A 14,606-nucleotide genomic window follows, 5' to 3' on the forward strand; every position below is an offset into this window, starting at 1 on the left:
CAGCATAAATTTGCCATAAATTTGTAGGTTCTGGAATACACAGGTTCTGAAATTTGCCAATTTGCTGCCTACTGATTTGGACAAGTTACTTAACCCCCAAACTATAAAATATACCATAATCCTCTCATCTATAAAATGTACCATAAAGCCTATGTCCTAGGGTTGTTGAAAGGATTAAACGATATGAAGAATGCAAAGTGCTTAGCATGGTGCCTCACACATAGTAAACACTTAGAAGATGCTGTTTCATATTCTTACTTTCTAATCATCAATTTGAAAATTTCCATCTAATGTGAAGTTTGTCTGATGTCTTTTTCTTTTATTTCTATACCTAGCACCTATATAAATTAATCTTGAAATATGACAATTCTACATCCCCTTGTGCTTTCAGGTACCTGTTGATCCTGCCAATCTCCCATAACATGCTAAACAACTACAGGGTACAGGCTGTGCACCTCTTCTAGTTTTTTTCCTCTAAACAGTATCTAGTACATGCACACACAACAAATGGCCAATGAATGATGTCGCCTTAGCTCTCCGACAGCTAGAGAGATGCAGCACTTCCAGGTTGTAATATTTACTGCCCACATCTTACAACTGAGTAACTAGTTAACCAACCATCCAAAGAAGAAAACAACACGCTGATCAGAACTTATGGTAACAGTTCCTGTGGGTCGATTTCAGAATTCACCTTCTCACTCAGTGTGTTTAGCTTCTTCTCTAAGAGAGATACAGTGGCTACATGTCACAATTCCCCTTCAGTATATGGGTTGCTGTACAAATAGATGTAATCAGTGAGGAAGAAGCTGCTTACTTTCTCAAGCTTGGTAAATATCATACCAGAAGATGAGTCATCTTTGCTGGGAGATATATAACAAAATAATTATAGAATGTTTTCAGGATATGAATACAATATTTACATAGGACATTTCACCCAAGTATAACCACTTGCACATGTATATTGTACCACTAATATTAAAATGTTCATTTAATATTTAATAATTAGCAGTAAGGTTATTGTAGTAATATTTCTCTATAAGGATCCTTCTCATATTTCTAGGGAAAAGTGAATAAACTATGTGTCTAATTAAAAATTCCTATTGCCTCGCACATCAGACACCAGTTTGATTTCTCCTTTTAGCTGCAGTGAGGTCACACTCCTGCATTTGTGACATAGCAGCAGGTTGTCATGGAGATGATAGCTTTATCAGCAACTCTGCTGTGCAATGACTTCACAGCAAGGTTACCAAGAAGCAGATGGGCTGTGAAGGAGACAAACCCTTCTGTCTAAACACAAATAGCATTGATAATTAATTAGCTGAAGCAGCAGGGGAAATTATGAAAATGTGTGAAAGGTAAAATAATTTCTATTTATTTCAGATTTGATAGTTTTATTCCTCTTGCCAGAGGAAGATCACATCCCTCTTCACCTTGGGAAGGTTGTCTGATATACTGACTATGGCACTAACTGGTTTGAGTATGCTGGTGTTCACTTTCTGGATTTTGATTTCTTGGTTAAGAAAGCATAGTAAGTATAGTAAGTATTCTGAGCAGCTTTGAATGAGATCCCAGCCGTCCTATTATTCTTGCATTCATTGTGATCCAGTTGCAAGATAAACTGCAGGTGTCATGCAGTTGATGGGATTTCAGAAGGGGTGGAGATACCTTCCAGTGTCCCTGAAATCACATAATGGTTCTATCTGGCATTGAAGAATTTTCAACCACGGGATAATAGAGCTTTAGTTATAGAAACGACTTTACAGACTGTCCTTGTCCAGGGTCTCTGAACAACTAGGTTCTTGAGATGTTTTGAATAATCAGCTCATATTCATTCAAGATAAAACTGAATAGTTTAACATGATTTAGTTAAAATATGATCTTCTTTATTATACTTTTAAGTTCTTAGATACATATGAAGAGCATGCAGCTTTGTTACATAGGTATACGCGTGCCATGGTGGTTTGCTGCACCCATCAACCCATCATCTACCTTAGGTAATTTTCCTAATACTATCCCTCCCCTAGTCCCCCCATCCCACAACAGGCCCTGGTGTGTGATGTTCCCCTCCCTGTCTCCATGTGTTCTCATTGTTCAACTCCCACATACAAGTGAGAACATGCAGTGTTTGGTTTTCTGTTCTTGTGTTAGTTTGCTGAGAATGATGGTTTCCAGCTTCATCCATGACCCTGCAAAGGACATAAACTCATTCTTTCTATGGCTGCATAGTATTCCATGGTGTATATGTGCCACATTTGCTTCATCCAGTCTATCATTGATAGGCATTTGGGTTGGTTCCAAGTCTTTGCTATTGTGAACAGCACTGCAATAAACATACGTGTGCATGTGTCTTCATAGAATGATTTATAATTTTTTGAGTATATACCCAGTAATGGGATTGCTGGGTCAAATGGTATTTCTGGTTCTAGATCCTTGAGGAATCACCACACTGTCTTCCACAATGGTTGAACTAATTTACACTCCCACCAACAGTGTAAAAGCATACCTGGTTCTCCACATCCTCTCCAGCATCTGTTGTTTCCTGACTTTCTAATGATCACCATTCTAACTGGCATGAGATGGTATCTCATTGTGGTTTTGATTTGCATTTATCTAATGACCAATGATGATGAGCTTTTTTTCATGTTTGTTGGTTGTATAGATGTCTTCTTTTGAGAAGTGTCTGTTCATATCCTTCGCCCACTTTTTGATGGGGTTTTTTTTTCCTTGTAAATTTGTTTAAGCTCCTTGTAGATTCTGGATATTAGCCCTTTGTCAGATGGATAGATCGCAAAATTTTTCTCCCATTCTGTAGGCTGCCTGTTCACTCTGATGATAGTTTCTTTTGCCACGCAGAAGCTCTTTAGTTTAATTAGATCCCACTTGTCTATTTTGGCTTTTGTTGCCATTGCTTTTGGTGTTTTACTCATGAAGGCTTTGTCCACATGCCTGTGTTCTGAATGGTATTGCCTAGGTTTACTTCTAGGGTTTTTATGGTTTTAGGTCTTAGCTTTAAGTCTTTAATCCATCTTGAGTTAATTTTTATATAAGTTGTAAAGAAGGGGTCCAGTTTCAGTTTTCTGCATATGGCTAGCCAGTTTCCCCAGCATCATTTATTGGATAGGAGATCCTTTCCCCATTGCTTGTTTTTGTCAGGTTTTTTGTCAAAGATCAGATGGTTGTAGATGTATGGTGTTATTTCTGAGGCCTCTGTTCTATTCCATTTGTCTGTATCTGTTTTGGTACCAGTACCATGCTGTTTTGGTTACTGTAGACTTGTAGTATAGTTTAAAGTCATGTAGCGTGACGTCTCCAGCTTTGTTCTTTTTGCTTAGGATTGTCTTGACTACACAGGCTCTTTTTAGGTTCCATATGAAATTTAAAGTAGTTTTTTCTAATTCTGTGAAGAAAGTCAATGGTAGCTTGATGGGACAGCATTGAATTTTTAAATTACTTTGGGAACTATGGCCATTTTCACGATATTGATTTTTCATAACCATGAGCATGAAATGTTTTTTCCATTTGTTTATGTCCTTTCTTATTTCCTTGAGCAGTGGTCTGTAGTTCTCCTTGAAGAGGTCCTACACATCCCTTGTAAGTTGGATTCCTAGGTATTTTATTCTCTTTGTAGCAATTGTGACTGGGAGTTCACTCATGATTTGGCCCTCTGTTTGTCTATTATTGGTGTATAGGAATGCTTGTGATTTTTGCACATTGATTTTGTATCCTGAGACTTTGCTGAAGTTGCTTATCAGCTTAAGGAGACTTTGGGCTGGGACGATGGGGTTTTCTAAATATACAATCATGCCATCTGCAAACAGAGACAATTTGACTTTCTCACTTCCTATTTGAATACCCTGTATTTCTTTCTCTTGGGTGATTGCCCTGGCCAGAACTTCCAATACTGTGTTGAACAGGAGTGGTAAGAGAGGGCATTCTTGTCTTGTGCCAGTTTTCAAAGGGAATACTTCCAGCTTGTGCCCATTCAGTATGATATTGGCTGTGGGTTTGTCATAAATAGCTCTTACTATTTTGAGATACGTTCCATCAATACCTAGTTTATCGAGAATTTTTAGCATGAAGTGGTGTTGAATTTCGTCGAAGGCCTTTTCTGCATCTATTGAGATAATCATGTGGGTTTTTGTCATTGGTTCTGTTTATGTGATGGATTACATTTATTGATTTGCATATGTTGAACCAGCCAAGATTTTATTGAGGATTTTTGCGTTGATGTTCATCAGGGATACTGGCCTGAAATTTTCTTTTTTTGTTGTGTCTGCCAGGTTTTGGTATCAGGATGATGCTGGCCTCATAAAACGAGTTAGGGAGGCGTCCCTCTTTTTCTATTGTTTGGAATAGTTTCAGAAGGAATGGTACCAGCTCCTTTTTGTACCTCTGGTAGAATTCAGCTGTGAATCCGTCTGGTCCTGGGCTTTTTTTGGTTGCTAGGCTATTAATTACTGCCTCAATTTCATAACTTGTTCCAAGGGATAATCCCTATTTAGGGATTTGACTTCTTCCTGGTTTAGTCTTGGTAGGGTGTATGTGTCGGGAATTTATCCATTTCTTCTAGATTTTCTAATTTATTTGTGTAGAGGTGTTTATAGTATTCACTGATGGTAGTTTGTATTTCTGTGGGATCAGTGGTGATATCGCCTTTATCGTTTTTACTGTGTCTATTTGATTCTTCTCTCTTTTCTTCTTTATTAGTCTGGCTAGTGGTCTACCTATTTTGTTGATCTTTTCAAAAAACCAGCTCTTGGATTCATTAATTTTTTGAAGGGTTTTTCATGTCTCTATCTCCTTGAGTTCTGCTCTGATCTTAGTTATTTCTTGTCTTCTACTAGCTTTTGAAGTTGTTTGCTCTTGCTTCTTTAGTTCTTTTTTTTGTGGGGGGAGTGGGGAGGATGGAGTTTTGCTCTTGTTGCCCAGGCTGGAGTGCAATGGCATGATCTCAGCTCACCGCAACCTCCGCCTCTCGGGTTCAAGCGATTCTCCTGTCTCAGCCTCCTGAGTAGCTAGGATTACAGGCATGCTCCACCACATCCAATTAATTTTGTATTTTTAGTAGAGAGAAGGTTTCTCCATGTTGGTCAGGCTAGTCTCAAACTCCCAACTTCAGGTAATCCATCCACCTCAGCCTCCCAAAGTGCTGGTATTATAGGCATGAGCCACCACACCTGGCCTCTCTAGTTCTTTTAATTGTGATGTTAGGGTGTCAGTTTTAGATCTTTCCTGCTCTCTTCTGTGGGCATTTAGTGCTATAAATTTCCCTCTACAGACTGCTTTAGCTGTGTCCCAGAGATTCTCATACATTGTGTCTTTGTTCTCATTGGTTTCAAATAACTTATTCATTTCTGCCTTAATTTCATTATTTACCCAGTAGTCATTCAGGAGCAGGTTGTTCAGTTTCCATGTAGTTGCGCAGTTCTGAGTGAGTTTTTTAATTCTGAGTTCTAATTTGATTGCACTGTGGTCTGAGAGACTGTTGTGATTTCCATTGTTTTGCATTTGCTGAGGAGTGTTTTACTTCCAATTATGTGGTCGATTTTAGAATAAGTGCTATGTGGTGCTGAAAAGAATGTATATTCTGTTGATTTGGGATGGAGAATTCTGTAGTTATCTATCTATTAGGTCTGCTTGGTCCAGAGCTGAATTCAAGTCCTGAATATCCTTGTTAATTTTCTGTCTCATTGATCTGTCTAATATTGACAGTGGGGTGTTAAAGTCTCCCACTATTATTGTGTGGGAGTCTAAGTTTCTTTGTATGTCTCTAAGAACTTGCTTTATGAATCTGGGTGCTCCTGTATTGGATGCATATATATTTAGGATAGTTAGCTGTTCTTGTTGCATTGATCTCTTTACCATTATGTAATGCCCTTCTTTGGTTTTTTTGATCTTTGTTGGTTTAAAGTGTGTTTTATCAGAGACTAGGATTGCAACCCCTGCTTTTTTTTGCTTTCCATTTGCTTGGTAAATATTCCTCCATCCCTTTATTTTGAGCCTATGTGTGTCTTTGCATGTGAGATGGGTCTCCTGAATACAGCACACCGATGGTTCCTGACTTTATTCAATTTGCTAATCGGTGTCTTTTAATTCAGGCATTTAGCCCATTTACATTTAAGGTTAATATTGTTACGTGTGAATTTGATTCTGCCATTATGATGCTAGCTGGCTATTTTGCCTGTTAGTTGATACAGTTTCTTCATAGTGTCGATGGTCTTTACAATTTGGTATGTTTTTTGCAGTGGCTGGTACTGGTTGTTCCTTTCCATGTTTAGTGCTTCTTTCAGGAGCTCTTTTAAGGCAGGCCTCATAGTGAGAAAATCTCTCAGCATTTGCTTGTCTGTAAAGGATTTTATTTCTCCTTCATGTATGAAGCTTAGTTTGGCTGTATATGAAATTCTGGCTTGAAAATTCTTGTCTTTAAGAATGTTGAATATTGGCCCCCACTCTCTCCTGGCTTGTAGGGTTTCTGCCAGGAGATATGCTGTTAGTCTAATGGGCTTTCCTTTGTGGGTAACCCAACCTTTCTCTCTGGCTGCCCTTAACATTTTTTCCTTCATTTCAACCTTGGTGAATCTGACAATTATGTGTCTTGGGGTTGCTCTTCTTGAGGTGTTCTCTTTATTTTCTGAATTTGAATGTTGGCTCATCTTGCTAGGTTGGGGAAGTTCTCCTGGGTAATATCCTGAAGAGTGTTTTCCAACTTGGTTCAATTCTTCCCATCACTTTCAGGTACACCAATCAGACGTAAATTTGGTCCTTTCATATAGTCCCATATTTCTTGGAGGCTTTGTTCATTCTTTTTTATTATTTTTTCTCTAATCTTATCATCACGCTTTATTTCATTAAGTGATATCCTTCTGCTTGATTGATTCAGCTATTGATACTTGTGTATGCTTCATGAAGTTCTTGTGCTGTGTTTTTTAGCTCCATCAGGTCATTTATGTTCTTCTCTAAACTGGTTATTCTAGTTAGCAATTCCTCTAACCTTTTTTCAAGGTTCTTAGCTTCCTTGCAACGGGTTAGAACATACTCCTTTAGCTCGATGGAGTTTGTTATTACTCACCTTCTGAAGCCTACTTCTGTCAATTCATCAAACTCCTTCTCCATCCAGTTTTTTGCCCCTTGCTGGCAAGGAGTTGTGATCCTTTGGAGAAGAAACATTCTGCTTTTTGGAATTTTCAGCCTTTTTGTGCTGTTTTCTCCTCATCTTTGTGGACTTATCTACCTTTGGTCTTTGATGTTGGTGACTTTCAGATGAGGTTTCTGTGTGCACATTCTTTTTGTTGATGTTGATGCTATTCCTTTCTGTTTGTTAGTTTTCCTTCTAACAGTTAGGCCCCTCTGCTGCAGGTCTGCTGGAGTTTCCTCGAGGTCTACTCCAGATCTTGTTTGCCTGGGTATAACCAGCGGAGGATGCAGAACAGCAAAAATTGCTGCCTGTTCCTTCCTCTGGAAGCTTTGTCACAGAGAGGCATGCGCCAGATGCCAGCCAGAGCTCTCTTGTAAGAGTTGTCTATCAAACCCTGCTGCGAGGTGTCTCCCTGTCAGGAGGCATGGGCATCAGGGACCCACTTGAGGAGGCAGTCTGTCCCTTAGCAGAGCTCGAGCACTGTGCTGGGAGATCTGCTGCTCTCTTCAGAGCTGGTAGGCAGGAAAGTTTAAGTCTGCTGAAGCTGTGCCCACAGCTGCCCCTTCCCCCAGGTGCTCTGTCCCAGGGAGATGAGAGTTGTATCTGTAAGCCCCTGACTGGGGCTGCTGCCTTCCTTTCAGAGATGCCCTGCTCAGCGAGGAAAACTCTAGAGAGGCAGTCTGGCAGCAGCAGCTCTGCCAAACTGGGGTGGGCTCTGTCCAGTCTGAACTTCTTAGTGGCTTTGTTTAGCCTGTGATGGGAAAACCACCTCAGTAATGGTGGATGCCCCTCCCCCCACCAAGCTCGAGCATACCAGGTCGACTTCAGCCTGCTGTGCTGGCAGGCAGAATTTCAAGCCAATGGGTCTTAGCTTTCTGGGCTCTGTTGGGGTGGAATCTGCTGAGCTAGACCACTTGGCTCCCTGGCTTTAGCCGCCTTTCCAGGGGAGTGAACAGTTCTATCTTGCTGGCATTCCAGGCACCACTGGGGTATAAAAAAAAAACTCCTGCAGCTAGCTCAGTGTCTGCCCAAACAGCTGCCCAGTTTTGTGCTTGAAACCCAGAGCCTTGGTGGCATAGGCACTGGAGGGAATCTCCTGGTCTGTGGGTTGCAAAGTCCATGGGAAAAGTGTAGTATCTGGGCCGAAGTGCACTGTTCCTCAAGGCACAGTCCCTGAAGGCTTCCCTTGGCTAGGGGAGGAAGTTTCCAGACCCCTTGTGCTTCCCGGGTGAGGTGACACACCACCCTGCTTTGGCTCACCAGCCGTGGGCTGCACCCACTGTCTAACCAGCCCCAGTGAGATGAGCCAGGTACCTCAGTTGGAAATGCAGAAATCACCCGTCTTCTGAGTTGATCTCACTGGAAGCTGCAGATCAGAGCTGTTCCTGTTCGGCCATTTTAAAATGTGATCTTCTCTACTTCATATTAGAATGTCAACTCAATGTGGTAATACTTATTATTACAAACATCTGAAGCGCTAATCGACTGCTCTATGTCTCGGAACAGCTAAAATGGGAGAACAATTTAATTATTACTTGGTTAATGTAGTATGTTGGGTATGAAAATATTCTCAAACATATGTTCTTGAAAAAGTAACAAAATAGATACCTGGTAATAAAAAGGTTAGGAATCCTTAATCTAGTCCAAAACTTTACAAAAAGGAAATGATAATGATGATTAATGTTTAATAAGTGCTTGCTGTGTTCCAGGCACTGAGCTAATATCATTTTACTCCACCTCTTACCCCCACAAAAAACTTGGAGGACAGATTTATTATTTTCCTCACTCTACAGATGAAAAGGACTTTAGTAAGGCTTAGAAACTTTAAATGTCTTGCACAGCTAATATTTGTCATGAAGAGGTTATGTGACTTTTGTACATGCTATGACAATCTAAATTATTCTAATTTTCCAACTGATTGATGTATATTATCACCATTTTATGCTTTTTGCTACTTTGTTTTAGATCAGTCCTATTAAGGAGAAATGAGTATATTATTCATCCCTTTCTTTCTTTCATATATAGTACCCACTTGCTAGGTAAAATCTCTGATGAAAGCACATTTTTCCTTTGTAATAAAGACAGCAGGACATAGCTTTCCTGATACGGTACTGACCCCCTTTCTCCACCTCATCTGAAACACATCCTCTGTCTCCGCCTTCTTGGTAGAAAGCACTAAGGGGGAGATGATGTATAATTACTTGTCTGGTAGGGTTTTAAATTATGTGAGCAACTGTCTGTCTACAAAAAAATGTAGCTATCCATTCTTTCCTCAGTCAGTATATGATAAGAACTTTGGGAAGTGAAAAGAACTTTAAGGTAGTTTGAAATGAATGACCTAGAGATTCAATGATTTATGTCCACTATCTGATTTTCTCTGAGGAAATGACTAATTTCCCAAGCCTGCAAAGAAAGAACATGAAACAAACAACAAATTTCAAAGATGAAACTAAAAACACTCCAGAATCAGAAAGGACATGTTCAGTCTGAGCCAACCGTCACATCTTTAACCCTTCCATCTGTTGATGTACATTAGAAAAAGGAAGAGAAAAAAAAACAACAAACTACATCCAGCCTGTTAGCTGGGTAATTTAATTTTCATGTTATTTGTGAGCTGGTGAGGCATGCTTACCTCTCTGTGTGTAAGCATTGAGGCTGGCAATTAACCCTGTTCCCTTTAGCAATCAAATTTGTTTGGGGACTTCACTCAAAGCCATCTCAAACTGAGCACTATGCTAATGACCTGTACTGGGCTTGACTACTGTGGAAGCGCAAAGGATGGCAGGCAGGATGGTGCGGGCTTTTCTTTCAAAAATACCTTTATGTATATAACTCATTAGACCAAACAGAAAAACATGGTGGTTGGAGAGATTATTGAAATGGTATTTTAAAAGTTTTATTTCCGTTTTCTTTTCATATTTTTTCCAGCTTTATTGAGGCATAACCAAAATGACCTTTGTGATATTTCATGTGTTCTTTATTATCTTTCTCTATGTTTCTGTTTTCCCATATCTCTTTGTGTCTCATACTAGAAGATTATTTTAGTTATAAAGAAAAACACCTGAACCTTCATTAAAGATGTAAACCCAGATTTGGGGGAGGGAGGATTCTAGAATGTCTCCTCAGAGGCCCCTTTCTCAGCTGTTGAGGATCGCTTTTTAATGTTATAAGAAAAGCATAGCCCTGAGATGTTTGACCAATATGGCCCTCAGGTGTGTGAGTTTAGAGAACCTCATGTTTTTCATGGGTGTCCAGTCTTTTGGCTTCCCGGGGCCACATTAGAAGAAAAACAATTGTCTTGGGCCACACATAAAATACACTAACACTAACAATAGCTGATAAGCAAAAAACAAACAAACAAAACAAAACAAAACCTCAAAAAAGTCTCATAATGTTTTAAGCAAGTTTACGAATTTGCATTGGGCCACATTCAAAGCCGTCCAGGACTGCATGCAGAGCACGGGCCACAGGAAGGACAAGGCTGTTTTAGAGCTTTAATCCACTTTCACCCACAGTTTTGATTACTGGACTGATAAGATTCTGAATTACTCTCTGCCTCTGTCCACCCCAAATCAGCACAGCTGTGAGGCATGTAAAGCCTTCCTACTCCAGATTTGGTCTACTCACCAGCAGCATCTCCATCGCCTAAGAGTTTTATTAGACATGCGCAACGTCAAGCCCTACTCCAGACACACCGAATTAGAACCTGCATTTTAACAAGATCCCCAGTGACTCATATACAAACAAAAGACTGAGAAGCACAGGCCTAGAAGATGTCTCCTCCCACTGACAAAGGGCAAAGAAAGGAGTTGTCTCAGAACTTGGAGTAAAAAATACTCTCCTGTGGTGATAGAGAGAAAAAGTGTGGAGGGCAAAGAGGGGAGCCTGTGTATATGCGTGTGTATGTGTGAGAGAGATAGAGAGATGAAATGAGGTAACAAGATTCACCTGCCAACCAGCCCTGCCTAAAACTTTTCAGCACACTCTGGATCTCAGCTGCTAGTACTTACTCTTATTTGACTACTAGGCATATTTAGTTTCTATATCCCGCCTGAGATGTTCCCAAAATGTCATAAGCGGCAGGAAGATAACCTGAATTTTTGTCCTTTATCCAAGCACTAGGTCTGACAGAGGTAGTCTTCCTGACATTGCCCTCACTGGCCCAGGGTAAGAAAGCTCACTAAATGTTCTGACTATTATTTGAAGCATGATTTCAGCCATGCTATTCTACCAAAAGCAGCACAGATCTCTCTCTTGATCATTTGGCATTCTTCATATTACATCATCACACATAAAATTGTTGATTCTCGGGTTAGAAGGAACCATTTTTAAAAGTACAGTTTCTTACCTGATACTGGAATCCCTGCTATAATATAGCTAGTCATTGCCAAGCTACACTTGGAAAAAATAGACGAAAGAAAACTCAAAATTCATGCTCATATGCTATTGAGCATTTAGTGACATTGCAGCTACCTTATTTGAGAAGGCAGCATTCCACTGATAACATATATCACCCTCTAAGTATGGCATGCTCCTCTTACAAACAGTTAAGCTTCAGAGCAGTAGTGCAGGAAGGAAAAAAGTCCCTTCATAAATAAATCCTTTTGCCTAAACGAAAGAATATACAGTACTCATAAAAATGGCGATTAGAGCCCAGCATGAGAAAGATACCCTCATAACACTAATAATATTAGCAATAAAAATACCCTCTGAGATTTGCTATTCCAGAGAAAATATTTGCTATTATTGTTATTATTATTATATTACTGCTAATAATAATAATGGGTTGCTTGCTAAGAGATTGAGCCTTTGCTGTAACTAAGTAAGCATACTTAGAAAGTGCTCCCCTGAAGACATTTCTTCAATTAATAAAGAAGACTGACAGATCTTCTCACAGCCTACTGCCAGGTACCAATTGATTGCCTCCCTGTAATAATTGTTTAATTTGCTTTCCAGTACTAATCATGTTGTGCAAATTGTTGGCCTCTGCCATTTGGTGACAAGGCAGATGGTATTTCAATGGGCCCAGTTGAGCTGCCCACCAGCCCCACCTCCCACCCTCAGCCTTTTCCATTCTCCCTTCCCACCCACCCTGTCCCTTTCTCCTGCCTGGAACCCAGACACAGATCTGGGGCTATGTGTTCCTCTAGGAAGATGACGAATAGCACATTGGCAATGAAGGAGTAAATTGGTCAGACCTCTAGAGCAGCAGCTACAGGAGGAGGCATCCCTTTGCCGTGTATCATGACCTCTCCCTTTGCTTAAAGAAAAGCTGTAAGTTTACAGCATGAATTAGCATGGCCCCATCACAGACACAGATTTAGGGTCATATAAGGCCAAAGTGGGTAACTTGGTGATTAAAAAAAAAGTCAAAGTCCCAAAAGCAGGGGAAATTGTATCAGGGTGCTGGAGAGGGAGGGGAATTGTCAGTAAACACGATGAAAACACATGAGTGGAAAAGAACTGTGATATATCATTAGGCATATCAGGGAACTCTAGAACACAGTCACAGTTGATGACTGAAGTATAGTTTCCCCAACCCTACCTCATTACCCATAGCTCCTCTGACTTGTTTGGGGGTATGCTTAGTTTTTGGCTTCTTGCATAGCTTTCATCTTTCTGCTTCACTGGATGAAAGGCCCACAAAGAATCAGGCATATACAGAGGCGTGCATTGTATTTGCAACCACTTACATTAAAGTTCCCAAATGTACTTGGTACGTTCACACCTCTGCATGTCTAGACATACTATTCTGCCATCTTGGTGGAATGTCCTTCACATTCTGAATTATCAGGACTCATTTCAAAGACCCCAGTTCTTGCATTAAGCTTTCTATTCCTGTGCCCTCCTAAGGCAGTGTTTTCTCACATTCACTTGTCGCTTAGCTAAGTAAGAGCAGACCCTTCAGTCCTTCACAAAACACCCTCCAAGCTATAACCTAAACATAGTTTTCTGTTGCATCTTCTACTACCACTCCAGACCTATGCTATGGCCATATTCCATATTTTACTGGACCACATACTTCCCTTCTGTCTGTGCCTTGTCTTTGCACTTTCTTCTGTCAGAAATTTTCTTACAGAGTTCAGTAATCAAAAATTCCATCTGTTAAAGATAATCACTAAAACCATTTCCTTTTTGAAAATGCTATTGGATGTGATATATCTCTCTATTAAAAGCTATATCACTTATATCATCTACATATATATCTAATTCTTTGGAGACATTAAAACTTACCTGATGGAAGATACTTTAAGGCTTTCCGATAAGCCCCCACAGAACTTTATTTCTCCTCATGGAACTCACAGTTTGCTTCATGTGATTAAGACCATTTCCAAAGACACTTTTTTTAAAGGGGTTTACATAGAAAACTTTATAGCAATGTGAAATGTGAAAATTTTTTTTAGCTTCAACTTTAAACAAAGTTACTTTCCACTGCAAGGCATTTAAAATTTATTTCCAATTTCCAAGGAATACAGGAGTGCTGATTTTATCTGTGGGAAATAAGCCAGCAAGGAGACCACAGATACAGGACAAAATGCTCACTTTAGGAGCACGGAGAGGTGTCATGCCATTCAATCATTTCTGCAACTGGTAAAGCGGAGAGTATTGGAGAAATATAAGGCCTGAAGAAGAGTTTTGTTAAGAAAGATTTGGATCTTAAAGATCATAGTGTGAGAAGTACTTCTGAACCACAGCTCAATACCAAGCTACTACCGATTACCTAAATGAGATACAGTGAAAATGGAATGTTTGCAAAACTGAAGAGTACATACTTTATTTTTATTTTTTTAAGATGGAGTTTTTTGCTCTGTCACCCAGGCTGGAGAGCAGTGGCACAATCTTGGCTCACTGCAACCTGCAACTCCTGGGTTCACGCAATTCTCCTGCCTCAGCCTCCCCAGTAGCTGGGATTACAGGCACCCAGAACCATACCCAGCTAATTTTTGTATTTTTAGTAAAAACGAGGGTTTCACCACGTTGGCTTGGCTGGTCTTGAACTCCTGACCTCAAGTGATCTGCCCACCTCAGTCTCCCAAAGTGCTGGGATTATAGACATGAGCCACCATGCCTGGCCTAAAGAGCACATACTTCAGGATGCTTAGTTACTAAAACACAATTTTTCTTTAAAGTATCTGCTTGGAAAGCCAAATGCCACAATACCACACGTTCTCACTTATAAGTAGGAGCTAAACAATGGACATACAGAGTGGAATAATAGACACTGGAGACTACAAAACGTGGGAGGGAAGTGAAGGTTGAAAGATTACTTATTGGGTACAATGTTAACTATTCCAATGTTCCGATGACGGATATACAAAAGCCCAAACTTCACCACTATGTAATATATGCATGTAAGAAATCTGCAGTTGCACTCCCTAAATATATATTTTAATAAATAAAATATAATCAACACTTAAAATAAATTTAGTTTGAATAAAAATAAATAAAAAGTGTCTGCTGAGTACCTGAC

General features: G+C 39.9%; 1 long non-coding RNA gene across 1 annotated transcript; it reads left to right on the top strand.

Moving 5' to 3' along the window:
- Positions 1-1,225: 1,225 nt before the first annotated feature.
- On the top strand, positions 1,226-12,033 carry LINC00901 (long intergenic non-protein coding RNA 901). The gene is made up of 2 exons (NR_121607.1): positions 1,226-1,355; positions 10,712-12,033. It is a non-coding gene; the product is annotated as a long intergenic non-protein coding RNA 901 (long non-coding RNA).
- The last annotated feature ends 2,573 nt before the right edge of the window (positions 12,034-14,606 follow it).

This window comes from Homo sapiens, chromosome 3 (assembly GCF_000001405.40).
Source record: "Homo sapiens chromosome 3, GRCh38.p14 Primary Assembly".
In the NCBI taxonomy this organism is placed as follows: domain Eukaryota; kingdom Metazoa; phylum Chordata; class Mammalia; order Primates; family Hominidae; genus Homo; species Homo sapiens.